We start from the raw sequence: 26,283 nt of genomic DNA, 5'->3' as shown, positions 1-26,283 counted from the left end.
TCATAACCTGAAACATTTTAAGAATGAGTTCATTTCTTCTATATGGTGCTCTTATAAAAAACATTTAATTATAATCGTCACTGCCATTTCTACAGGTTCAAAGTTGTTGTTATCTATCTATGTGGCACAAAAATCTTGCTACATAGTTGAGATTTACATGGCACAAAAATCTTATCAAAATTTTCCCTGAGTATTGTTACTTAAAATTCTAATAGTTTGGTTACGGGAAATAAACTATTCTGTTTATTTTGGTTATCCTGATTCTCTTGGAATTTTAAGGGAATGTTCAAATTCCAAGTAAAAATTTCCTTTTTCTAAATTATCTGGAACAGCAAACTAATGCTGTGATTTGAACATATCCCTCAAAAGTTCATGTGTTGGGCCACGTGCAGTGGCTCACACCTGTAATCCCAGCACTTTGGGAGGCCGAGGTGGGCAGATCACCTGAGGTCAGGAGTTCGAGACCAGCCTGGCAAACATGGCGAATCCCTGTCTCTTCTAAAAATACAAAAATTAGCCGGGCATGGTAGTGTACGCCTGTAATCCCAGCTACTAGAGAGGCTGAGCCAGGAGAAATGCTTGAACCCAGCGGGGTGGAGGTTGCAGTGAGCAGAGATTGCGCCACTGCACTCCAGCCTGGGTGACAGAGTGAGACTCCGTCCCTCACCCACGCCCTCAATAAAAAAAAAAAAGTTCATGTGTTGGAAACTTGGTCCCTAATGGCAATGCAGCAGTGGTGAGAGGTGAGAACTTTGGAAGGTGATTATGTCATGAGGGCTCTGCCCTTCTGAATGGATTGATTGATCCTTAACAGGTTAATGAATGGGTTATCAAGGGAGTTGGTTAGTTACCATGAACGGGTCTGTTATAAAAGCCAGTTGTGCCATCTCTTGTGAGCCCCCTCACCATGTGATAAGCATGCTGCCTTGGGACTCTGCAGAGTCTCTACCAACAAGAAGGCCCTCATGAGATGTCGCCCCCTCAACCTTCGACTTTGCAGCCAACAGATTTGCAAGAAATACATTTCTTTTCTTTATAAATTACCAGATCTCAGGTATTTAGTTATATCAACAGAAAATAGACAAATATACCTTATGGGTATAGTAATCTGAAGTGCTAAGTATGTAAAACTAAGGAACTCAGATTAATACCATACAGTCCAAATAAATTCTTAAATTCTTATCAGCTCAGGCTGCAAACCTGGCAATTGCTCTAAAAGCAGGGCACACATAATAATGATTACTTACTATATACCAGGTATTAAGTGCATCACAAGTATCATCTTAGTATCTTCACACATTAAGTGCTATTATTTTCTCCCCATTTTAGCGGTGAGGAAGCAAAGGGGAAGCAACTAGAAAGTACTAGAGCCGAGATTTGAACCTAGGCATTCTGAATCTTAACTGCTACGTTATAATGCTAACACTAAATAAATAAATCAATACTAGCTTACTATAACCAACTTTTTTTTTTTTTTTTTTGAGACGGAGTCTCGCTCTGTGGCCCAGGCTGGAATGCAGTGGCACAATCTCGGCTCATTGCAAGCTCCACTCCCAGTGGCGCCTGCCACCACACCTGGCTAATTTTTTGTATTTTTAGTAGAGGACGGGGTTTCACTGTGTTAGCCAGGATGGTCTCGATATCCTGACCTTGTGACCCGCCCAACTTGGCCTCCCAAAGTGCTGGGATTACAGGAGCCACCGCACCAGGCCCAACATCTGAATAGTTAAAAAAACAGGCCAAGCAACAGGTGCAGTGGCTCACACCTGTAATCTCAGCACTTTGGGAGGCCGAGGCGGGTGGATCACGAGGTCAGGATATCGAGACCATCCTGGCTAACACAGTGAAACCCCGTCTCTACTAAAAATACAAAAAATTAACCAGGCATGGTGGTGGGCACCTGTAGTCCCAGCTACTTGGGAGGCTGAGGCAGGAGAATGGCATGAACCCTGGAGGTGGAGCTTGCAGTGAGCCGAGATCACGCCACTGCACTCCAGCCTGGGTGACAAGGCGAGACTCCATCTCAACAACAACAACAAAAAACAGGCCAAGTTTAGCTTACTTGAGAAAAAATATTTTTTTAAAAAAATCCATTGCCATGGCAATTATGTTATTGGTGTCCTTGGTAGTAGAACAGGGATTTGTTTTCTGGGCCTCTCTCTAGAGTGACAAAGTATATGGTTATAACATTAATTTAAATCTCAGAGGACACCTGTGTAGCATTAGAGGTTTATTAGGAGAAACTGAGAAAGAAGGGAGGGCTACTCATCAGATAACTTACCAAATAAGGACACAGTACATGTCCCTCCTTAGATGTGAACATTTTCCCAAAGCTACAAGTTTCCAAGAGAACTCTTCTGGAAAATGTAACGTAGCAGGCAAAGACTCCTAAGACACCTTAACCTCTCTTCCTTAAGCACCCTTACACTTTGAGAACAGAGAATAAAGCATTTGGGAAGAACAATGTTTTTTGGTCCTTTATCTAGACTGGCTCTTTGCATAATTCAACCAAGAACTCTACTTTTAGCTTCTTTAAAGGTGCAAAAGCAACTATATTTAAAACAAAGTACTCACCCTCTCTTCCCACTTTTTGATGGTGGGCCACTTCTCCTTTCATTTCTAGGACCTGAGAAATTCCTTCCTGATTTGGGTGGACCATTGTTGCCACGTCGATTCTGACGATCTACTGGTCTCTGACTAGAAAAACTTCTCTTTGCAATTTCCCTCTTTGGAGGTAGAACATTCTCTCCAACCTTTACAACTGTTTGTGCATTCAAGTCAGCATTTTTTTTTTCATCCCTCTCTCGCCTCTCATTGAAATCACTGCTTTCAGAAGCTGTTTCCCATTCTTCATTTGCCTGATCTGAAGAGTTCTGATTAGATAAATCTGGTGTCTTATTCCCGGAAATATCCCCAAGAGTATTAACTGGTTCTTGAGCCACATTATTAACTGTGCCATTTGTGGGCACTGCTACCACCTCATTTGATTTTGAAGCAGCCTCCCTCTCTCTTAGCCGTCTAAATCGAGGTGGCTTGTCTTGCCTTGGTGGTCGAGTAGGACGCTGCCTTCGAGGCCTTTCTCTAGCTGGGTCAAATTTTCGCTCAAATTTTGGAGGTCGTTTATCTGCTGCTATAGGAATAAACTGCTCATGTCTTCTTGGCGGCTCTCCATCTTCTGGTTTAGGAACTTCTGACTGCCTTGGGTTCCACTGATTGTCCCGATAAGCTGGTCTTCGTAAAGTGGAAGGGCGTGATGGACGGCCTCCAGGATCCCTTCCACCACGCCTGAATGTTCCCCCTCTGCCTCTCCTTGTAGGCTCTCCTTTAGGAAGAAAGCCTGGTTTAGCTTTATCGTCATCCCTTACATAAGGCTTTTCTAGCAGTCTATTATCTATTCGAACATGATTATCAGGCTTGAAAGAAGAATGAGGCTTTACAGGTTTTTTGTTTTCAGGCCGTTCCTCTCTTTTGGGAAGTTTGCCTTTACTTAAACTGTCCTTGTCACTTGCACTTTCATGAATTTCACTGTCTGTGTCAGTCTCTGAACCCCGCTGTCGTCTTCTTTTGGGGACAACTTCAAAATCAGAGCTCTCACTCCGTGTTTCACTTTCTTCTCGCTGTCTGAGAGGCCCTGAGGGTATATGCTCTGCTCTTGGCTTATTGTCTCTATACTGAGGATAATCTCGAGTGTGTCCCCTACCACCCCTGCCACGCCCTCCATAAGAACCTCTATAGCTTCGACCTCTGGAGTAATATTCACCTCGGCCTCGACCTCTGTATCCTTGATCTGGAAACCAATCTCTCTCTCTAGCTTCTTTCCAATAGGTCCTGGGAGGCAAAGTTGATTCTTTTTTAACTGCTGGTCTTGAATCTGGTCGAGGCCTCTCTATAACAAGGTCTTTGCTGATGACTTTCTCAGGTTGTTTTTCTTCTTTGACTACTGGTGCTGCCATAGTCTGTTGGTTTACAGTCTTAACTGCAGGCTCTACCTGAACAGTACTCACAGGTTCCAGAGGCTTCTCAGTATCCTGAGATGGTTTTTGAGCCAAAGTTGCAGTTTCTGTTGAAGGAAATTTCTCTGCTTCTGGTTGAATTGGTGGTGGAACTGACTGTGGCTGAATTGGTGCTGGTGGCTGAGGTGGTGGTGGGGGAGGAGGAAGATCCTTCTTTTCCGTCTTTTCAGGCTTTACAACTACTTTTTCAGTGACCTTTTCGGCCTTTTCTCCTTCTTTCTCCTTCCTCTGTTCCCGTTCCTCTTTCATATCTCTAAGTACAGGTTTTTTAATGGGACCTGATCTTCTCACAGGTCTATCATTAACTTCTTCCCTTCTGTTAGAGCTTGGTCGTGGGCCCCAACGAGTTTCTGATTTAGATTTATATACTTTTTCAGGTTTTGGTCCTTCAGAAGATCGTATAAAGCCTTCCTTTTTTGGTTTCTCCTCTGGCCTTTCTATTGGTTCTTTTGAATCAATGCATCTGCTGGTTACTTTAGGAATGCCTGCAGATGGTTCACTTCTCTGCTCGTCTGGTTTTTGCGTATGGTTAGATCCATGGGAAACACTTCTTTTCCGGGAAGGCTGACTTTCTACAGCTGAAATCCGCTCCTCTTGAGGAGCGGATAAGGTCTTTTGATCAGGTGCTTCAAAACAAGCAGACTGATTATTTGCATCAGTATGGTGAGGTCTAACATCTTCCACAGATCTGCTTAAAAACTTTTGTACTTGTGCCTCACTTGATTCTCTGATAAAGTCTGCCTTTGGGTGAGCCTCTAATTGATTATGTTCTACAGAATAAGCAGCAGTAATCTGTTCCTGGTCCAACGCAGCTTCAGACCTATGATGATAAGAATTCAAAGGTATAATCAACAAAGCAATCTTTCCCATGCGTAAGTATATAGCAAAATAATCCCTCTAAAACAGAAAGCAATGACTCTTAACCATAATGAGAATCTTTCTCTCGCTATATAAAAAGTTTAGAGGAGAATTACTCACAATAGCCAAGAGGTGGAAACAGCCTAAATATCCAATAGCTGAATGGATAAAGAAAATGTGGTATACACATACAATAGAATATTATTCAGGGATAAAAAAGAAGGAAATAGTGTCATATGCTACAACATGGATAAACCCTGAGGACATTATGCTTAAGTGAAGTCAGTCAGTCAGGACAAATATCTTACATGAGGAACATGAAATAATCAACTTCATCAAAGCAGAAACCATAATGGTGGCTGCCAGGGGCTAGGAGTAGGGGGAAATAGGAAATATAGGTATAGGTATAATATAGGAAATATAGGTAAAGGTAAATATAGGAAATATAGGTAAAGGTAAGAATAGGAAATAGGTATAAAGTTTCAGTCATGCAAGATAAAAAAAAGTTCTGGAGATTTGCTGTATAACACTGCTTACAGTTAACTACATGGTACCATATGATTAAATTTTTGTTAAGAGGATATATCTAATGTTCTAAGTGGTTTCTGCCACAATTAAAAATAAATAGGGCCGGGTGCGGTGGCTCACGCCTGTAATCCCAATCCTCACTTTGGGAGGCCGAGGAGGGCGGATCACCTGAGGTCGGGAGTTCGAGACCAGCCTGACCAACATGGAGAAACCCCGTCTCTACTAAAAATACAGAATCAGCTGGGCGTGGTGGCACATGCCTGTAATCCCAGCTACTAGGGAGGCTGAGGCAGGAGAATCGCTTGAACCCGGGAGGCGGAGGTTGCGGTGAGCTGAGATGGCACCATTGCACTCCAGCCTGGGCAACAAGAGCAAAACTCCATTAAAAAAAAAAAAATGGGCCTGAAGCGGTGGCTCATGCCTGTAATCCTTGCACTCTGGGAGGCAGGAGGATCACTAGGGCCCCAGGAGTTTGAGACCAGCCAGGGCAACATGAAAAAACCCTGTCTGTACAAAAAATACAAAAATTAGCCGGGTATGGTACTGCATGCCTGTAGTCCAACTACTCAGGAGGCTGAGGTGAGAGGATCACTTGAGCCTGGGAGGTCAAGGCTGCAGTGAGCTGTGATTGCATCACTGCACTCCAGCCTGGCTGACAGAGCGAGACCCTTCTCAAAAAATAAAAATAAAAAATAGAAATAAATAAATGAAGTTTATTCCTTAAGGAAAAACAAAGTTAAGACCATGCTGATGTGAATTTCTAATCCATCAAGACCAGTAATTTCCACCTAGAATGAAAGAGTACACTTGAGTAAGCTTATCTGTCCCAGTTAATTACAAATAATTATAAAACATTATAAAACATTACCAAAAAAATATAGCCCATAAAAGGGCAGGAAGTTCCAACTGTATGGCTATAAATTATTACAGTCATCACCAATTGTGCGCCATTTCAAAGTTAACTTTGTATTATTGTATTTCTCCTTATCTTGGCCTTAAAAATGTTCCCTAAAATACTGTTAAAAAGAAACATCTCACTAATGGAAAAATTACATCTAGCTATATTATATAAGCATTGTAGATACACCTAAATTTCTTCACACCTACTCTACAATAAAGACATCCCAAGTGGCTGCACACGATGGCTCACGTCTATAATCCCAGCACTTTGGGAGGTAAGGCAGTCAGACTGCTTGAGCCCAAGAGTTCAAGACCAGCCTGGGCAACACGGCAAAACCCCATCTCTATAAAAAATACAAAGATTATCACAAGGTCAGGAGATCGAGACCATCCTGGCTAACACGGTGAAACCCCGTCTCTACTAAAAATACAAAAATTTAGCTGGGCGTGGTGGCGGGTGCCTGTAGTCCCAGCTACTCAGGAGGCTGAGGCAGAAGAATGGTGTGAACCCGGGAGGCAGAGCTTGCAGTGAGCTGAGATCGCGCCACTGCACTCCAGCCTGGGAGACAGAGCAAGACTCTGTCTCAAAAACAAAAACAAAAACAAAAACAAAACAAAAAACCCCACAAAGATTAGCGGGGTGTGGTGGTGAACGCATGTAGTCTCAGCCACTCAGGAAGCTGAGGTAAGCCGATCACTTGAGCCTGGGAGGTGAACGCTGCAGTGAGCCAAGATCATACCAACGCACTCCAGCCTGAATAACAGAGCAAGTTCCTATCTCAAAAAAGAACCTACCAATTTCAACATCTAATACTAAATTACAGCATACAATTGAGTACAGAACCAGGTTACAAAATGCCCTAATGAATACAGAGAATATGTCCAAAGAGTAAGCGTAGCATGCTAAATTAAATAGAAGGAAACCAGATTTATGCTTCAGTCCTAAATTGGAATGATCTTCAGAAACACTACACAGTTTTCCTTTTACCAAAATATTCTGTATCATCTATTAAATTGAAATAATTTATTACCTTACATCCTCAGGCTCTTCTGTTGCTTTGGGAGTAGTTGCTTGTTGAGGCTCAGCATGAGGATAGGGATCTGACCCCCACAGCATACGAGGCTCAGAAAGGGAAATTGCGTGATCTCTTGCAGATCGAGCTATATGCTCAAATGACTCAGAACTGTTCGGTGACCCTTCCATCTGGTCTCTTCTCATTAATGGTTTAGGAGGAATCATTCCTGTAACAAAAGTTCAGAAAAAGGTGAAATGAGGATTTTGAAAAATGAACGAAACAAAACCATGATAGACATAGAATACAGGTTATTAATTGTTAGGTGGAATTCTCCATATTAAAAGCATTTTTTTCCTGAGTAAAAGATTGGTGGAAATTATGTAAGGGTTGTTCTGTGAATGGAATTTTATTACTGCTGTTAAATAAAAATTGCATTTAAGAACTGAGGAAGCAAAATAAGCAAAATCACAATAGCAGCCTGTTTTACTTCAAAAGAAAGAAAATATTATGCATATAAAAATCAGACACCAAGTACTGTGACTCTGGATGTCAATACAAACATCATGAAAATTATACTATGATAACTTTCAGAGAAAATTCTTTCCTAAATTCCATTAACCTACCTTAGTTGGTCAATATTCTACAAAATATGCCACTTAAATTTCCAAATACCAGTATAAATGTAAAAATCAAAACATGATTTGTGATCAGCTTATCATCCCTAAATTTTCCTCTGTAACATTTTGGTAATAGATTATCTTGATTTATTCTGATGGATTCCATAAAAGACTGCTAATTCACTTTTTTTCCCCCTAACCTAAAAGGAAATTCAAGTGTTAGGTTGGTAAATGATGGAAGAAGAACTTGAAAAGGAATATATATAACATATGGACAAAATTCAAACGCTGAAAACACTTTAAAGAAGAACAACAATGTAGCCAATAACAAATACTGTTAATAACACATAATTATTTCCATCTGAAGTTTTAAATAATACTTACAAAACAGAAATGAACTAGTATTTTGTTCTTGCCACATAAGTAATATGAGTGTCAGATATTTAATTACTCGATGCTGAAAGTTACATCATTTTGATTAAAAATCGGAGGTTTAAGTTTTTCCTAGATTACAACTCTCAAAGGAACTGAAACTAAAAGCAGGGAAAAAAAAATTTTGATCCTGTAAAACTATAAATGCAAATTCAACTGACCAGGATGAATGGGTGGAATATCCATAGCAGGTCTTCCTGACATCATTCGAGGATCCATGTAGGACTGCATCATGAGCCACCTTGGATCAAAACCCATAGAAGCCAAATGCTGAGGATGAGGCTGCATAGGCTGATAAAGAGGTCTGTGTGGTGGAGGAGGGACAGTACTACTGGACGGTTGTGAAGGAACAGTCTGTGGAAGTACACCTTGCTGTTGCTGCTGCTGCCACTGCTGCTGTTTCATCTGTTCCTGAAAAAGTAAGATCCCATATCTTGAGAGTTTAGTTCCACATGACAAATTAACATAATCAATCATATCACAAAATAATGGCCTGTTTTGAATCCTTGAAGGAAAAGTAAGAGTTCAAAAGGTATTTAACAGTTAAGAGTTGGCAAGACAAAAAACTGAAAGATGAACTATAACATTTTACCTTATACTCAAGCACTGTATGATCTATCTCCTAGAAATGGAAGATGGTGTCTATAAATGAGGCAGAAGATCAAAAGGAATGACACAGAAGGTCAAGGTAAAACCCACGTTAACTTTTATTTACAAGGAAAAATAATTTCAAGGGAACTTTGTGTGCTTTACGTATTATCAGTTTTATGTCTAATTTCCCAGACTACTGCATAATAAACCACTTCAATCACACATACATGATAAAATATTTTTATCATTACCTGCTGCCGCTGGAATCGTGGAGGTAAAGACTTCTGAAACTGTTTGAAATAGCCAGATAATACAGCCGGCCGAGGTTGAGACCCTGATTCTGGTTCTGTTTCATGCACCACTGGTGTGGCTTCCTTTTCACTGCGATTGCTGTCTTGTCTAGTGAAAACGGGTTCCTCCTCTGCTCAAAGAAAAGGTGAAAGGTAATAGTATTCATCTATGACACTTATCAAACACAGGATTTTTACAAAGACTGAGGTATAATAAAAGTTAATGAGGAAGAAAATATCCTCGACACTCTAAAACATTATTTTCTACTTTAACATTGGTAGTTATCAATGAGGTAACATTAGATTATCAAAACCTTAGATTTCCTAAAAGCTGCATTCTTAGAGATGGAGAGCAGAGATCCAAATGCTTCATCATATAAAATCTATGTTTTTTTTTTTTAAATAATGAAACATTTCCAACTCCACATATTTTTTATTTGTTTCAATAAACATCAATGTAATTGTCAGTATTTACTGGTAGTTCATTAAAATCTACATGAAAACACAAATGGCCTATAAATACTTAAAAAGAGAGCATGTTGGTTTATTTAGTTATTTATTGGGTAAAGGGACTATTATCTGTAAGGAAAACTAATGAGTTTAAGTCTGAAGACAACAGAGTGATCACTAGTTATCTTCAAACATAATTCATTCTAGAATGTCATTTGTCACAATTACAAATCCACGCTTGTTACAAATTCTTTTCTCAAATGACTAGTAATGAATTTAAAATGGAAGTTTATCTCCCAATGTAAAAGCATGCTGTTAAGAATCACAAATAACATTTTTATTGCTTGGATTACATTCAATATTAAGAATGTTGTAAAAGAGTGAGCAGGTCATGGTGGTGCATGACTGTAATAACAGTAACTCAGGAGGCTGAGGTGAGAGGATCACTTTAGCCTGGGAGTTTGAGACCAGCCTGGGCAACACAGCCAAAAAAAAAAGAATGGAAAATAATATACTGGAGGAAAAAGAGCCACATAGGCACTGACTTTAAAATCACGTGTGTCTTGAGAACATCTCAGAGAGCATTAAAACAAACAAAAAAATTGTATGTGTCTAGTATCAGAATTGAGGGGGGAAAAAAAAATCACATGGGTACATCTCACTGATAAACAAGCTAAAATTAAATTGCCATGAGAGAGAATATATAAAATGTGAATGAAAATAAAAGCACAAATAAAACTTATTAAACTATGATAATGTTTTCCTTTCTCTTGTGAACACTTTATTTCACTATTTTGGTGTTATGAGCAATCTTCATAAGTACTTATGTAATATAAGCCCACTATTCAATAGCAAAGTCTCTCTAGATTGATTAATATGAAAAAAATCTGAAATCTTAGAGTCTTAACAAATGGTCCATACAGGCCTTATTTCATTAAAAAAATTAAAGATAAAATACTCATACTCCTTTATAGTTAAATTAAGAGCCAAGTTTGAAGGTAACCCTGCATATAAATAAAAACTTTATTTTTAAAAACACATTCTTATTATTTTAAGCAGCAGTGCCTTGTAGAAAAGAGCATGAGACGTCAGGTTAGAAAACTTACAATATTTCCACATCAGAAAATACACTGAAATAAAACTGCATTTCTATTTTAATTCAAGTCGTTCATTAAAACTAAACTTTAGGCTGGGCGCGGTGGCTCACGTCTACAATCCCAGTACTTTGGGAGGCCGAGGCAGGCAGATCACGAGGTCAAGAGATTGAGGCTATGCTAGCCAACATAGTGAAACCCCGTCTCTACTAAAAATACAAAAATTAGCTGGGTGCGGTGGCACGCGCCTGTAGCCCCAGCTACTTGGGAGGCTGGGGCAGGAGAATCACTTGAACCTGGGAGGTGGAGTTTGCAGTGAGCTGAGATTCCGCCACTGCACTCCAGCCTGGAGACAGAGAGAGACTCTGTCTCAAAAACAACAACAACCACCACCACCACAACAACAACAAACAAAAAACGAAAACCCTGAACTTTAACTTTGCCAAGGCTTTATACTATATTTGAATGCCATTAATCAGTCTACAAGCCAACTCGGAGAAGAACAAAAAAGTTGATTAGATCTAGAAAAAGAATTTTATTTTAAAGTATAATTACTCCAGGAAATTACAGTTTAATAGCATATCAACTACACCATGGAAGCTTGCATGTTTAAACTGATTAAACAGCAAACCTGAAATTATGAACTAGGTGCAGTCATTTAATTATGATAATCCAACATACTCATTAAGCTCTATGCCAGTTCAGTTTTAGAGGTATTAATGCATGTGAACAAATGAGATTTTGTTTAGTTAAATGTCTTGGAGTCAGAAAAAAGCAGGGGGAGAATCAGTATATGTGACTATGAAGCCAATACAATTCTGCAGATAAAACAGAAATGAAGCTCATCTAATAACTGAGAAACACTTCAGAGACGTCTGTTCATATACAGAATTAGAAAACACGGCTCTAGCCCATATTTTGTACTGCAAATGCTATCATAAAACAATCACTTTTATATTGATTACATATATTTAAAATATACAAACCCCAAACTGTAACCAACATAAAGCTCTTTGTAAAGTTTTTAAAAGAGAATGAAGAATACTATCAAACCTTTATTACAGCTGTTTTCACTTTCTTGTTTTTCTACCATGGGCTCTAAATTAGGTTCTCTGGGTTCAATTTTCTCCTCTAATTTTTCCCTTTCCTTCTCCAGCTCACATTCCTTTTCTTGTTCTTTCATCTTTTGTAGTTCTTTTTCCTTTTCTTTCTGCCGTTCTAGTTCTTTTTCTTTTTCTTGCTTTCTTTCTTTCTCCATTTCTCTTTGTTTTTCCTGCTCCTTCTCCAGCTCTTTCTCCTTTTCCTGCTGTCTCTCTCTGTCTTTTTCCCTCTCCTTCTCTCGCTCCTGTTCTTGTTCTTTTTCAAGTTCTTTCTCACGCTCCCGTTCTTTTTCTCGCTCCCTTTCCCTAATTTCCTCTGGAGATGGTTGTTTTTCCAGGATGCCAAGCTTCTCATCCAATCGTTTCAGTTTCTCCGCACAAGCTGCCTTCCTTTGTTCTTCCATTCTTCGCTCTTCCTCTTCACGCCGTTTACGAGCACGTTCTACTGCTGCAGAAATTTCTGATTGTTGTCTTCGTCTTTGCTTCCATATTTCATCTTCATCAGCTACTTGCTGCTTGGAGGGAAAGGGGCCTGGTCTTCCAGGTACTGCCTGTCGATCTGGAGGTGGATGCTGAAACATTAAGGTATCAGATGAGTTATGACAACTCTATTTCTGACTAACACTGGGTATCAGGCATGGAGAAGGAAAAACCCCACAAAAATATCAGAAATTTCTCTGATGAACATACACATTAAAATGAAAACACATAAGATGGGAAATATATTACATCTAGATAATTCACCAAACTAAGACCAGAATAATTAATCCAGCGGTCCAATGTTTACTGAGTATGTACCTATTATTGTGCCAGACGTTGTTGCTCATTCAGTATTTGCTGAATAAAACTAGAAGCACAACAGTGAATCTCAAAATCTAAATTTAGAGACAAAGGAAATTTAGCATGGATACTTTAGAAGCAGCTGCCAGAGTTGGAATGTCTAAGGGAGAGAAATGAAGGTATTAAATATCCAAAATGATGGCATGTGAGCCCTGAGAAAATTAAGGTACAGCTACAGGTAAAAAGCACAGAGCCAAAGAAGCAAAGTGAAAAAGACAGAGTCAGTGCTGTAATGATACCCCAAAGGAGAAGAAATTCCTACAAATTAGTCTGGGTGAAGAAAAGTTCTATCTTTAGACTGAAAGATCCAGAAAAGCGTATCTAGAACCCGGAGTGGAGAATCGGAGGATCATCTGAAACATCCAAGTTTCAATGACTAAATTTTCATTAATGTGTTATAAAACAATGACAGGTTTTAAAATCACTGCTTGCAACTATGCAAAAACAATAAAAGTAATTAAAAAAATGTTTTTAACATATTGATTTTAAAAGCTACTAGGGTGAAGAAATCTTAAGAGCCATATGTAACCCAGCTGGAATGCTTATAAAAAGATTAAACAATGACACAACGAAAACACTTGACTATCTTTTTAAATGAATGCAGACTACCATTTACTAATAGTGCCATCATATGCAAATTACTTCATCTCTCTTGTGCTGAGTTTCTTCATCCACAGCTCAGAGATAAGCTGAAAAACCAAATATATTAGTGCCTAATTTACACAACTCACTTCATAAAAGTAAAATTTACATAAAATGTGCTGTGCTGCACATATTTTAAGTGTATAGTTTGATGAGTTTGGACAAATGATACACCTGTGTAACCACTGCTCCAACGCAGACACAACATTTCCATCACTCCTCTGCCTCCCCCTGTGGCCCCAAGCACCCCAACCCTAACCTTGTATAGTTCTGTTTGTCCTAGAATTTTATATACATGTATAAAATTATATTCTCTTTTGTGCTAGCTTCTTTTGCTAAGTATAATGGCATTGAGGTTATTTTATGTATAAGTAGTTTGCTCCATTTTACTGCTGGATAGTATTCCATTGTGGGCACGTTGTTTCATGTATGATAGACACGTGGGTTGCTTCCAGTTTTTAAACTATGAATAAAACAGCTATGAACATTCATGCGTAAGTCTTTGTGTAAATGTATGTTTTCCTGGCTGTTGGATAAACAGCTACAAGTGAAAATCCTGTGTCATATGGTAAATAGATATTTCATTTACAAGAAACTGCCAAACTGTTTTCCAAAGTGGTTATAAGGTTTTCCAATGTATAAGGGTGCCAGCTGCTCTATACATCCTTGCCAACACATGGTGTCATCAGTCTTTAATTCTGGCAGTGCAGTAAAATCTCAGTGGTTTTAACTTGTATTTCCCTAATAACTAAAGACACTGAATATCTTTTCATGTGCATACTGGCCATTCTTACATTTTCTTTTGAGAAACAAATGTTCAAGTCTTTTTGTTTAACTACGTATTATTGAGTTGTAAGATATTAAAAAAAAAATAAAAATACGGCCCAGGCTAGACACGGTGGCTCACATCTGGAATTCCAGCACTTTAGGAGGCCAAGGCAGGAGGACTGCTTGAGCTCAGGAATTCAAGACTAGCCTGGGCAACATGGCGAAACCCCATCTCTACAAAAAATACAAAAAAATTAGCCGGGCATAGAGGCACATGCCTGTGGTCCCAGCTACTTGGTAGGCTGAGGCAGGAGGATCGCTTGAGCCCAGGAGGTTTAGGCTGCAATGAGCTGAGATCTTGCTCCAGCCTCGGCAACAGAGCAAGACTCTGTTGCGCAAAAAAAAAAAAAAAAAAAAAAAAGCCCAGCTACAAGTCCTTCGTCAGATGTATTAGGAATATTTTTTTCTGTAACATATCTTTGCATTCTTTGGGAAATGTTCTCCAAAGTCCAACTGACCAGCTGCTTTTCCTTTCTAATTCGTGGCCAAGGTCTTATTTATCGAAGAAAACTTTGTCAGCTCCAAGTTCATGAACACTTGATCTTCTATACTTTTTTCTAGATGTTTTAGTTTTAGTTTCTGTGTACGCAGAAATGTTATAAAGAGCTTTCAGTGGTTATGAGGAGAGGGATTGCTGGAAACGATGGTGATGGTTGTGATATGTACAGCTATCACAGTAGGGTGATTACAGAAGGTCTGGAGACCCTGATCATAACAACGATTTCAGGAAAAGAAAATCTGCTAGTTAGAAAGAAGAACAAGTAAAAAAGTCAAGAAGAGCAATGTGTATGTGGTAAGAACAGCAGATGAAATTAGAAAAGTAGACAGAGATCTGAAAGATCATGAGAAGGACTTGAACAAGGAGTAACGGACCTAATCCATAGTTTTAAAAAGACAACAACTACTACAGAAGAATATGGGATGAAGGTGGCAAGTGAGCAGGCAGCATAAGAGGAAAGCAGTATCTGTCAAGAACCCACTCCAATAGTTCAAAGGAAATATAAAAGGTGGTAGCAAGTAGTCAGTGTACATTTTGAAGGTACAGGTGACAATCTGCTGATAGATAAAGCTAGATGTAGGGTAAAAAAAGAAGAGTTAAGAGTAACTTCTAAGTTTCAGCCTTAGCAAATATGTGAATGATAATGCCATTACCTGAAATGGGAAAGACAGGAGAAGCAGCACTGTGGGTATGCAGGAAAGGTGGGGGTGTGTGTTATGGTTTGGACATATTTGAGCTGTTTACTAGAGATCCAAGTGGAGATGTTGAGTTGATTGTTGAATATATGACTCTTAAAAGTCAGTGCAAAGCTTTTCAGGCTAAATGTACATTTGAATGCCATCAGCTCATAGAAGACATACCCAAGGAAAAGGATACAGATTTTTAAAATGGACTGAGAAAAAGGCTGAGTGCTCCAACACTCGAAGTGTAGGAGGCCCAGAAGGAATAGAAAGCAAAGAAAAACAAAATAGCGAGGTGTCTCAGATGCAAGTAGATAAAAAAGTGTTTTAAGGATAGGCCAGGGATGGTGGCTCAAGTCTGTAATTCCAGCACTTTGGTAGGTCAAGGTGGTATCTTGTCTAGGAGTTCGAGACCAGCCTGGGCATGAAGGTGAGACCCTGTCTCTGCAAAAAATTAGCCTGGCGTGGTGGTGTGCACCTGCAGTCCCAGCTGCTGGGGAGGTGAGAGGACCCCTTGAGCCCAGGAGTCCAGGTGGCAGTGAGCTATGATTACACCACTGCACTCCAGCCTGGGCCACAAAGCAAGACCCTGTCTCTAAAAATATATGCATATACAAAAGAAGGATAGAGAAATCAACTATGTCAATGACTCAGCTGAGATTTAAATGAGATGAAGACAAGAAAACTGAATTTGTCAAGATGGAAGTCATCACTGACTCTGATAATAATAGTTTCAAAGGTAGAGTGGGAAAAGAAAGCATGCCTGGAGAGGGCTAATGAGAGAATGAGCAGCAAAAGACGGTAAGTATAAATAGTTCACTAAAAGAATTTCATTGGCCGGGCGCGGTGGCTCACGCCTGTAATCCCAGCACTTTGGGAGGCCAAGGTGGGCGGATCACGAGGTCAGGATATCGAGACCGTCCTGGCTAACACGGTGAAACCCCGTCTCTACTAAAAAAAACACAAAAAATTAGCCGGGCGTGGTGGCGGGCATCTGTAGTGCCAGCAACTCAGGAGGCTGAGGCAGGAGAATGCTGTGAACCCAGGAGGCAGAGGTTGCAGTGAGCCAAGATCACGCCACTGCACTCCGGCCTGGGCGACAGAGCTAGACTCTGTCTAAAAAAAAAAAAAAAAAAAAATTTCACTGATGGAGAACAGAGAAATAGGGTAGACACTGCAATGGGATGGAAAGTGGGATGGAGTAATGTAAAGAGAGAGGTTTTTGTGAAGTTGTTTTTCTTAAAATATGAGATAACATTATCATAAGTGGAAAAGGATACAAGGAACCAAGTAAAAAAGTGTCCTTAGCACCAAAAACAATAGGAAGAAAAAGTATACGGGCAGTGAGAGAGAAAAAAAAAGTTATCTCCTAGGTACTTCTTATTTTCTTAGTGAAACTTGAAGCATGCTTATCAACTGAGAATGAAAATGAAAAGGATGAAGAGTAAGACATGTAAGAGTCACAAGGTAAAAAGTTAGTAACTGTTTCATAAAAGTTTTGAATAAAAAATTTGGTGTCTTTCCACCAAAACAAAAGGTCAAATAAAATATATAATCCATAAACAAGCACTTAAAATTTACCTGCTGTGCAAGCAACTTTGGAGGTGGTGGCAGATGTGAAGATGTTCCACGTTCCTATTATAAAGAAGAAAGAATTATTCTTATTATTTTGGAGACAGTCTTGCTCTGTTGCCCATGCTGGAGTGCAGTGGCATGATCTTGGCTCACTGCAACCTCTGTCTCCCGGGGCCAAGCAATTCTCATGCCTCAGCCTGCTAAATACCTGGGATTACAGGCGTCTGCCACCACAACTGGGTAATTTTGCATTTTTAGTAGAGACAGGGTTTTGCCATGTTGGCCAGGCTGTTCTTGAACTCCTGATGTCAAGTGATCTGCCTGCCTTAGCCTCCTAAAGTGCTAGGATTACAGATGTGAGCCACCACACCAGCTTGAAAGAATTACTTAAAAAGAACCATGTAAGAAAAAATATATCTGCTGGGTGCGGTGATTCACACGTGTAATCCCAGCACTTTGGGAGGCCGAGGCAGGCGGATCACCTGAGGTCAGGAGTTCAAGACCAGCCTGGCCAACATGGCAAAACCCTGTCTCTACTAAAAATACAAAAATTAGCCAGGCGTGGTGGCGGGTGCCTGTAATCCCAGCTACTCTGGAGGCTGAGACAGGAGAACTGCTTGAACCTGGGAGGCGGAGGTTGCAGTGAGCCAAGATCATGCTACTGCACTCCAGCCTGGGTGACAGAGCAAGACTCTGTCTCAAAAAAGGAAAGAAAAAGAAAAGATATATCTATTAGAAATATTTCAGCCGGGCACGGTGGCTCATGCCTGTGAGCCTAGCACTTCGGGAGGCCGAGGCAGGCGGATCACAAGGTCAGGAGTTAGAGACCAGCCTGGCGAACATGGCGAAACCTGTCTCTACTAAAGATACAAAAATTAGCCAGGCATGGGGGCAGGAGCCTGTAATCCCAGCTACTTGGGAGGCTGAGGCAGAAGAATTGCTTGAACCTGAGAGGCAGAGGTTGCAGTGAGCGGAGATCACGCCACTGCATTACAGCCTGGGAGACAGATCAAGACTCCATCTCAAAAAAAAAAAAAAAAAAAAAGATATATTTCTGAATGTAATGATTTTCTCAATACCATAAGATTGCTAAACATCTTTCTCCTCTCTTTTTAAATAAAAGCATATCACTCATTACAAGATTACTTTTATGCAATCACTCTGCTATTTCAGTAAGGTTAGAATCTTAAATGCACTTTACAATAAAAATTTTAGCCAGGCGTGGTGCCTCACGCCTGTAATCCCAGCACTTTGGGAGGCTGAGGCGGGTGGGTCATTTGAGGCCAGGAGTTCAAGACCAGCCTGGCCAACATGGGGAAACCCCAGCCCTATTAAAAATACAAAAATTAGCTGGGTGTGGTGGTGCACCACTGTAGTCCCAGCTAGTTGGGAGGCTGAGGCACAAGAATCTCTTGAGCCCAGGAGGTGGAGGTTGCAGTGAGCCAAGATCGCGCAACTCCATTCCAGCCTGGGTGAAAGAGCAAGGCTCTGTCTCAAGAGGGAAAAAAAGAATTTTAGTCTAGCTGTTCTGGAATTCTGATCCAGCAAATCTGACTGAGGAGATCTATACCTCTAATTACTAAATTTTATTTATGTAAGCTCAATTCTTTTCTAGTGGCAAACTAAAAATATGAGATTTATCTTAAAAAAAGAAAATCTAAAACATAATGGAACAAAATACATGAAACATTCACTTGCTAATATAAACTGTCACATGACTGTCACAAAAAAGTCAAAGACATCAAGACATATTCCATCTATTCCTCTATTCTTTCATGAAAAATTCTCATTCCCCATTATGCCAATAAGTAAAAAGTCACACAAAAAAGTTATTAAAATGTTATTTAAAAAATTCTTCTTTTTCAGGGTTCATAAATTTATTCAATGGATCATCAATGCCTTAAGATTAAAACCCTCATATAGCATACATTTTAAAGAAGTGGTTCTTACATAGCTCTCTTACCTCTCTCCTATATCAAACTACTTAGAATTTCTTGAATGTGCCATGTTTTCTCATACTTCTCTACATGTGTTTCCACTGCTTGTAACAGCTATATTCCCTTTCTATACTGCCTAAATCATGCTTGTTTAAGAATTAGCTCAAGTACTTAGTCTTCTGCAGCCTTCTACCTTAAATGAATGCTCAAAGAATTTATTTTGTACCCTCTATGATTACGCCACTTAGCACACTGTAACTGCTTACTGACTTTTTTTCCTGTCAAGGAAACTGTTAGCTACCTCCTTTTAGCCCTCAGAAGGGACAAGTTCCTCCATCTATTTTGTATGAATCCAACAAATACATGCTAACTATACTGATTCCTTAATAAAGAGATAAGTGGACTCCCTTGAAAGTAGTCCTTTTTATTCCCAGTTTATAATGCAGCTTTTGCAACCATTTACCATCTCAGAAGTGGGATCAAATATCTGTTGCACACACATTTCCCTTCATTCACAATGTTCTTCAAAATGATTCAGACTTTAGATCTCCCTACTCACTATGTGATTTCCCTACAGATAGTGTACCATTCACACAAAAAGACTGACTAGTATTTAAGTATTCAATAAACCATAAAGCACTTCAGCAATGTTTATTTTATTTTAGAAAAATATTATCCCTACACTTTGCTATGATTGAGCTATATCATAAGGTAAAAAAAATGTGAAGCTTTAGTTTTCACTTGATAACTTTAGCTACTGTATTGATAATTCCGGTTAAATGCAATAAAAATTATGATAGATTCAAGACTATTCAAGAAAAAAATACACAGTTTCCTTTTTCTAAGTCCCGTTCCACTCTGTGGTAAGAATAATTATCCATAGTATTACACAGTAATTACAATAAGGAGATCCTTGCAATAACAAGGATCTCCATGAGTCCAACAAACCTGATTAAATGAAGGTCCTTTCCCATAGGGAACTTTTGCTACTGATGGTTGGGCAGGTATTTGGGAAGATGATTTAGTGTTGGAAACTTCATCTGTTTCTTTTTTGTTTTCGTTGTTTTCAGAGGCTTTTGAACCTTGATCCTCACTGAAAAATCAAAATGCAGAAGAAATAAAGTGGACCAACTGTATCATAAGTACACACATTATTTTTGCAATTAAAAAAATTATTTCTGTATGGTTTCTGGGGGGGGAAATGTATTAAGGAATGAGATGGGTGTGTGACCCATTAGTGCTAATTTGTTCTTTCAATAAATATATACTATGAAAGTGCAATACAGTAGTTGTCAAATCTAAACACACATGTCAGGCATATATCCTGGCAAAAGAATATAATCACATCATTTCCTATCTCCTCTACATAAGAAATACAATCCAAATGTAACTGGGTAATATTGGAATTATTATTTAACTGCATTCTAATTTATTCTGATTTAATAAAAAGATAAATCAAACTACAGTATTTTTTCAAAGCCACGACAAACCACAGGTATCTCTTAAACGATCATAAAACGATGTTTGTCACAATGCCATAACTGAAAAATTATACCAAATGTGCTTCCAAACTTCCATATATTTTAAAAGCCCAACTTTTATGATATATAACCCATATATTCCTGACTGGTGCTCCAATATTCCAGAATGAAGGAAAAAGAAATAAAAAGCTCCCCATTTTCCAAGGCCCTAATGCAGTTTACTAAGTTTTAAGAAATCGAGGACCTGAAAAAGCTGTAGTAACCCAGGGAATTATTCTCCAATTTTGTAAATACAGATCAGGTCAAGCAAGTAACAGTTTAAAAAATTGTTCCTAATACCAGTTCTCAAAAGATCTCCAAACTAGGTGCCAAGCATCTAAATATCTTTTTTTTTTTTGAGATACAGTCTTGCTCTGTCACCCAGACTGGAGTGCAGTGGCATGATCTTGGCTCACTGCAACCTCCGCCTCCCGGATTCAAGTGATTCTCCTGCCTTAGCCTCCTGAGTAGCTGGGATTACAGGCATGCACCACCACGCCTGGATAATTTTTGTATTTTTAGTAGAGATGGGGTTTCACCATGTTGGCCAAGCTGGTCTCGAACTCCTGACCTCAAGTGATCTGCCTGCCTCGGCCTCCCAAAGTGCTGGGATTACAGATGTGAGCCACCGCACCCAGCCCTAAATGTTTTTAAATAAACTTTCTTGAGACGCATCAAATTTTAATTCCTTGATTAGCTGTATACTGTATTAATCTAGCTCATTAAGCACCCTCTATTCAGTAAAACTTCTGAGAATATATAAATTCTACAAATAACAAACAATTGTCTATTAACAAAGCTTCTTTGCATAAGTAGCTAATATTGTATCAACAAATTCATACTGTTATTAGTAAAAGATATCACAACTTACCTGTTATTCTCTTTAGGACTGTTACTTCCTTGTTCATCATCATCACTGAAATTCAGTTGCTCTGTATAATCTACTTCCATCTGAGCACCTATTAAATTAAGGAAAACTCAGACTGGCTGCTTGAAAGCATCTAACAATTTAAAGGACTTAATTAATTTTGCCTCTTACCTGCCCAACCTTCATCAGCTTCAGCATCTAGGTTATCAAATTTATCAAGCTCCTTCAGTTCTGATGCACTAAGAATGGATGGGCGTTCAGGCTCAGAGGCCCATGAAGGAGGTGGGCCTCTTCCTCGAAGGCCTCTAATGAAAGGCAGGTCATGGAAAAGATACAAAAGTTTATGATACTAAACTGGGAGAATACTAAAAGATTGGAATTTAGTTCATTTCAACATTAGTGTTTTCTACACCAAGATACCTAATATGTTCTGCATGGACATGTGTATGAAAAAATTAATATTAATACATAATGATAGGATAATACGTAACTCTTAAGTAACAGCTGACAAAGTTTTTAAGAATTCTCAAATATTTAAGATAAAACAAATATGTTAAAAGGATAACGATATGAATAAAACTAACTTCAAAATATATATTTTGAGGAAAATAATTCAAGAGGATGTTCAAGTCTCATATAATAAGCAAAAAAAAAAAAAGAAAGAAAATGGGGAGTCCATAATATGAAAGGAAGAAGAGAAAAACAAGTGTCATCAATTTTAGGGCCATGTTTTTCAGTTTTCTTTTTGTTTTGAGACGGAGTCTTGCTCTGTCGCTCAGGCTGGAGTGTAATGGCACAATCTCGGCTCATTGCAACTTCCGCCTCCTGGGTTCAAGCAATTCTCCTGCCTCAGCCTCCCGAGTAGCTGGGATTACAGGTGCACGCCACCACGTCCGACTAATTGTTTTGTACTTTTTTAATAGAAACAGGGTTTCACCATGCTGGCCAGGCTGGCCTTGAACTCCTGACCTCAGGCGAATCGCCCACCTCGGCCTTCCAAAGTGCTGGGATTACAGGGGTGAGCCACCGTCCCCGGCCTGGTTTTCAGTTTTCAAAATCCTATGTAAATTAATTTAAATGCTTAAAAGAATGAATTATTTCTGTTCTGTCTTATAAGAGTTAGCCAATTATTTACTAATGACAACTGTACTGTGAGGATAGGAAAACGATCAATTACACAACTCAGAATCACACAATCCACTCAACCTTCAGGAAATCTTAACAAGCATATATTCCTTACAGACTTTAATCATTTAATAGCCTTACTTGTTTGTTTCAGATAAAGAAGGTGGGAATCTCATGGGACCATGTAGAGGAGGATATGTCATCCTCGGATACTGTTGGAACATCTGAATGAAGGAAACAAAAAATTGTGATAAATTTAGCAACCTAGTTATTTTAAAAAATTATATATATATATAAATCTGAGCCTAGGCCTGAAGTTACAATTTATAAAACAATGATTTAAGTGAATAAAACTATTAATGACTGTTATCTGTTCATCCTCAATAGCAACCCATTTCCAAGGCCATTGCCACTAGCAACTCTTTATAAATAGAATAACTAGAGCACATATGAAAAACTTCTGTATTATATTAATAAAATTACATTAAAGTAACTATCAACAAGATATGTACACATTAAAGTAACTGTATCAATGAGATATGTAATGTAAAATTACATTAAAGTAACTGTGTCAACAAGATATAAATTACATTAAAGTAATTGTATCAACAGGATATGTACACACATGCACCCTAGCAAACGGCAAAGTGAAAATATTTGAAAAGCAAATGCTGTTGGCCTTCCTCCATAAGCAGGAGTAGAATAATCAGAGGCAGATTTGTGGATAAGGAGGATAACATCAGTCCCCAGCCCCAGCACCTCAAAAAGAAAAATGTAGGGGTGGCAGGCGTGGGGAAGAACTCAGCTCAGATAAAATTAAAAGACAGTCCACAATCCAAGGAAGTGAGTTGGAAAAGGGGGACAGAGAGCTACCCAGAAATTTTCTATGTATATGGCATAGGTGAATTCTCAATCAAGTTACTGCACAGATGATCATTATAAACTGTCCCAAACAGGTCCAGATACTGTTCTCTGTAGGAACTTGGCTCTGGGAAACTAAACTTAAGAGAAGACATAAGATAGATTCTGGGAACAAATAACACCAAGGGATTCATCCTATGATTTTGAAGGGAAGAAGGGTCAAAGAATGTCTTGGTCATTGACTATATGCTTATATCCAAGTCAAATTATGTAAATAATAGGAAATTATATTACTGTAAAAACATAATTTATATCCTGAAATAGAAGACTAGTTTTTCTAAAAAGTAAGTAGTAACTGTGTGTTAGATAAGAAAATTCTTACATTTGAAGTAAGGCTATGTTTATATGATTATGCTGTCTAAAGAAGAAATTTCTCAGCCAGGTGCAGTGGCTCATGCCTGCAATCCCAGCACTTTGGGAGGCCGAAGCGGGTAGATCACGAGGTCAGGAGATGGAGACCATCCTGGCTAACATGGTGAAACCCTGTCTCTACTAAACATACAAAAAAATTAGCTAGGTGTGGTGGGCGTGCCTGTAATCCCAGTAACTCAGGATGCTGAGACACAACAATCACTTGAACCCAGGAGGTGGAGGTTGCAGTGAGCTGAGATCGCACCACTGCACTCCAGCCTGGCAACAGAGCGAAACTCCGTCTTTATTAAAAAAAAAAAAAAAAAAAAAAGGAGAAGAAATTTCTCTTAAGTCAGGTTGAAGCAATGTTAATTAAGTCAAGCAACAGCTGAAACTCAGCTGGGGAAACTTTGAGGGATACTCTGGAGAATTTTCAGTTGCATCACACTTCTATACTGAAGTTAATAAAGACACTACTGGAGGCATATGTTCATAGCTAAAGTTGCATTAAATCCTTCATCTGGTCATTCCAGACATAATTTCATGTGGTCTTAAAAAATGCTTAAAATCTAGGAATTTGCCAGAAAATTCATTTTAGAAACAAATTTTAAATTCTCAGTATACAGTAGTGATATTTAAATGTTTTTGTTAATTAGTGGAACACTTTATTCAAATATAATCACTGATGAAAGTGGGAATGATGCCCACGTGGTTTCCCCTCTTTCCTATCCTACCCTCTCACATGAAAGTTCAGGGGTCTTTGGTAGCACAATTTGAAAATGATTAGAAAAAAAGTAATTGGGTATAAATCATTTTTCAAGGCCAGGTCAGCATACTCCCAAACTTCTTTTAGGAAAACGTTTAATGGCCAGGCACGGTGGCTCACGCCTGTAATCCCAGCACTTTGGGAGGCCGAGGAGGAAGGATCACCTCAAGTCAGGAGATCGAGACTAGCCCAGCCAACATGGTGAAACCCTGTCTCTACTAAAAATACAAGAATTAGCTGGGCGTGATGGCGTGCCCCTGTAATCCCAGCTACTTGGAAGGTTGAGGCGGGAGAATCGCTTGAACCTGGGAGGTGGAGGCTGCAGTGAGCCGAGATGGTGCCACTGCACTCCAGCCTAGGCATCAGAGCAAAAAACATTTAACAAGTAATTGTATTTAATCATTCATCTCCCTCTGTTAGTCTAGAATGATTAAAAAATAGTAATGTATATGCTCACTTTGGCAGCAAAATTGGAACAATACAGAGAAGATTAGCACAGCCCCCGCATAAAAATAACATACAAATTCATGAAGCATTCCATATTTTTAAATAAAATCAACAATATGAAGGAATGGAAAGTATGATGGATATTTAGGATTCAAATATTAGGAGTTAAACAACAAACTAAATAAATATGACCTAGATTTTTGTTTCCTATGAGAGTAATGAGTCTTCTGGAAAACTAAATGGATGTATCCAGGCACATGTGACTTGTTTTACAACTTCACATTGGGCTGAAAGTAAACAAAGAATGAGGACACCAAATCTAACTAATAATTTAGAAAATGTGGTGGGAGGGCAGGGGTGGGTGCCAGAGTATATAATAAATGAAATTAAAGATAGTATCAACAAAATCCAAAATCTGAGGAACTTCACAGGTTAACAAATTATAACAGATAAGCTCCAAAGGAAACAGGAGATAGAAATATCTATAGGTAACAAGATTCTTAAAAGAAATATGAACCAATCTCAACGAATGGATGTTGCCTGGATCCTAATTATGAGACAACTACTGGAATACTAACATAATATTTGAGAATATCAAGGAATTAGTTTTCTTTTTATGTATAACAGCATTGCAAACCTTCTCCCCAAGTCTTTATCCTTTAAAATAGAACTTAAAATATTTACTGATGAAATATCTTGGATTTGCTTTAGTAATCCAAAGTGGTAGGAAAAGAGCGGGCATGGTGACTCATGCCTATAATCCCAGCACTTTGGGAGGCTGAGGCGGGTGGATCACTTGACGTTAGGAGTTCAAGACCAACCTTGCCAACATGGCAAAATCCTGTCTCTACTAAAAATATAAAAATTAGCCAGGTATGGTGGCGGGCAGCTATAATCCCAGCTACTCAGGAGGCTAAGGCTAGGTTAACTGCTTGAACCTAGGAGGCAGAGGTTGCAGTGAGCCGACATCATGCCACTGCACTCCAGCCTGGGTGACAGAGCGAGACTCTGTTTCAAAAAAAAAAAAAAAGTGGTAGGAAAAGAGGCAGATTCATTGCACTGTTATCTTTATTTTTGTACATGTTTAAAATTTTCCATTAAAAAAAGTTTAAAGGCCAAGTGAGGTGGCTCATGTCTGTAATCCCAACACTCTGAGGGGCCAAGGTGGGCAGACTACTTGATGCCAGGAGTTCAAAACCAGCCTTGCCAACATGGCAAAACCCCATCTCTACCAAAAAAAAAAAAAAAAAAAAAGCCAGGTGTGGTGGCATATGCCTGTAATTTCAGCTACTCGGGAGGCGGAGGCACAAGAATTGCTTGAACCCAGGGGGCAGAGGGTGCAGTGAGCTGAGATCATGCCACTGCACTCCAGCCTGGGCGAAAGAGCAAGACTCT

At 39.1% G+C, this 26,283-nt stretch overlaps 1 protein-coding gene and 1 non-coding gene across 19 annotated transcripts in view, besides 1 other annotated feature; one reads left to right on the top strand and one right to left on the bottom strand.

The window, feature by feature from the left end:
* The window catches only part of PRRC2C (proline rich coiled-coil 2C), a 107,982-nt gene that overhangs the window by 48,708 nt on the left and 32,991 nt on the right, over positions 1–26,283 (bottom strand). For all 18 annotated transcript variants that reach the window (XM_005245020.3, XM_005245015.3, XM_005245025.3 and 15 more), the window contains exons 7-16: positions 22,545–22,627; positions 21,450–21,583; positions 21,282–21,369; positions 19,839–19,983; positions 16,960–17,013; positions 11,843–12,461; positions 9,207–9,376; positions 8,526–8,775; positions 7,331–7,541; positions 2,575–4,833 (exon numbers count right to left, since the gene is read on the bottom strand). In XM_005245020.3, coding sequence (XP_005245077.1) covers positions 2,575–4,833; positions 7,331–7,541; positions 8,526–8,775; positions 9,207–9,376; positions 11,843–12,461; positions 16,960–17,013; positions 19,839–19,983; positions 21,282–21,369; positions 21,450–21,583; positions 22,545–22,627 — 4,013 coding nt within the window. The remainder of the gene's footprint in view (positions 1–2,574; positions 4,834–7,330; positions 7,542–8,525; positions 8,776–9,206; positions 9,377–11,842; positions 12,462–16,959; positions 17,014–19,838; positions 19,984–21,281; positions 21,370–21,449; positions 21,584–22,544; positions 22,628–26,283) is intronic.
* Positions 24,464–24,634: a silencer, noted in NCBI's record as "fragment chr1:171489309-171489479 (GRCh37/hg19 assembly coordinates)". NCBI's record gives its function as "represses an EF-1alpha promoter that drives an FKBP-Casp9 reporter gene in an ReSE screen in K562 erythroleukemia cells {active_cell/tissue: K562}" and the evidence as "EXISTENCE:reporter gene assay evidence [ECO:0000049][PMID:32094911]".
* On the top strand, positions 24,885–24,988 carry LOC124904697 (U6 spliceosomal RNA). Its single transcript, XR_007067239.1, has one exon. It is a non-coding gene; the product is annotated as a U6 spliceosomal RNA (small nuclear RNA).

Source organism: Homo sapiens, chromosome 1, assembly GCF_000001405.40.
Source record: "Homo sapiens chromosome 1, GRCh38.p14 Primary Assembly".
NCBI classification, from domain to species: Eukaryota; Metazoa; Chordata; class Mammalia; order Primates; family Hominidae; genus Homo; species Homo sapiens.
The sequence above is the reverse complement of the archived record's forward strand: the minus strand, read 5'-3'. Positions and strand labels throughout refer to the sequence as shown.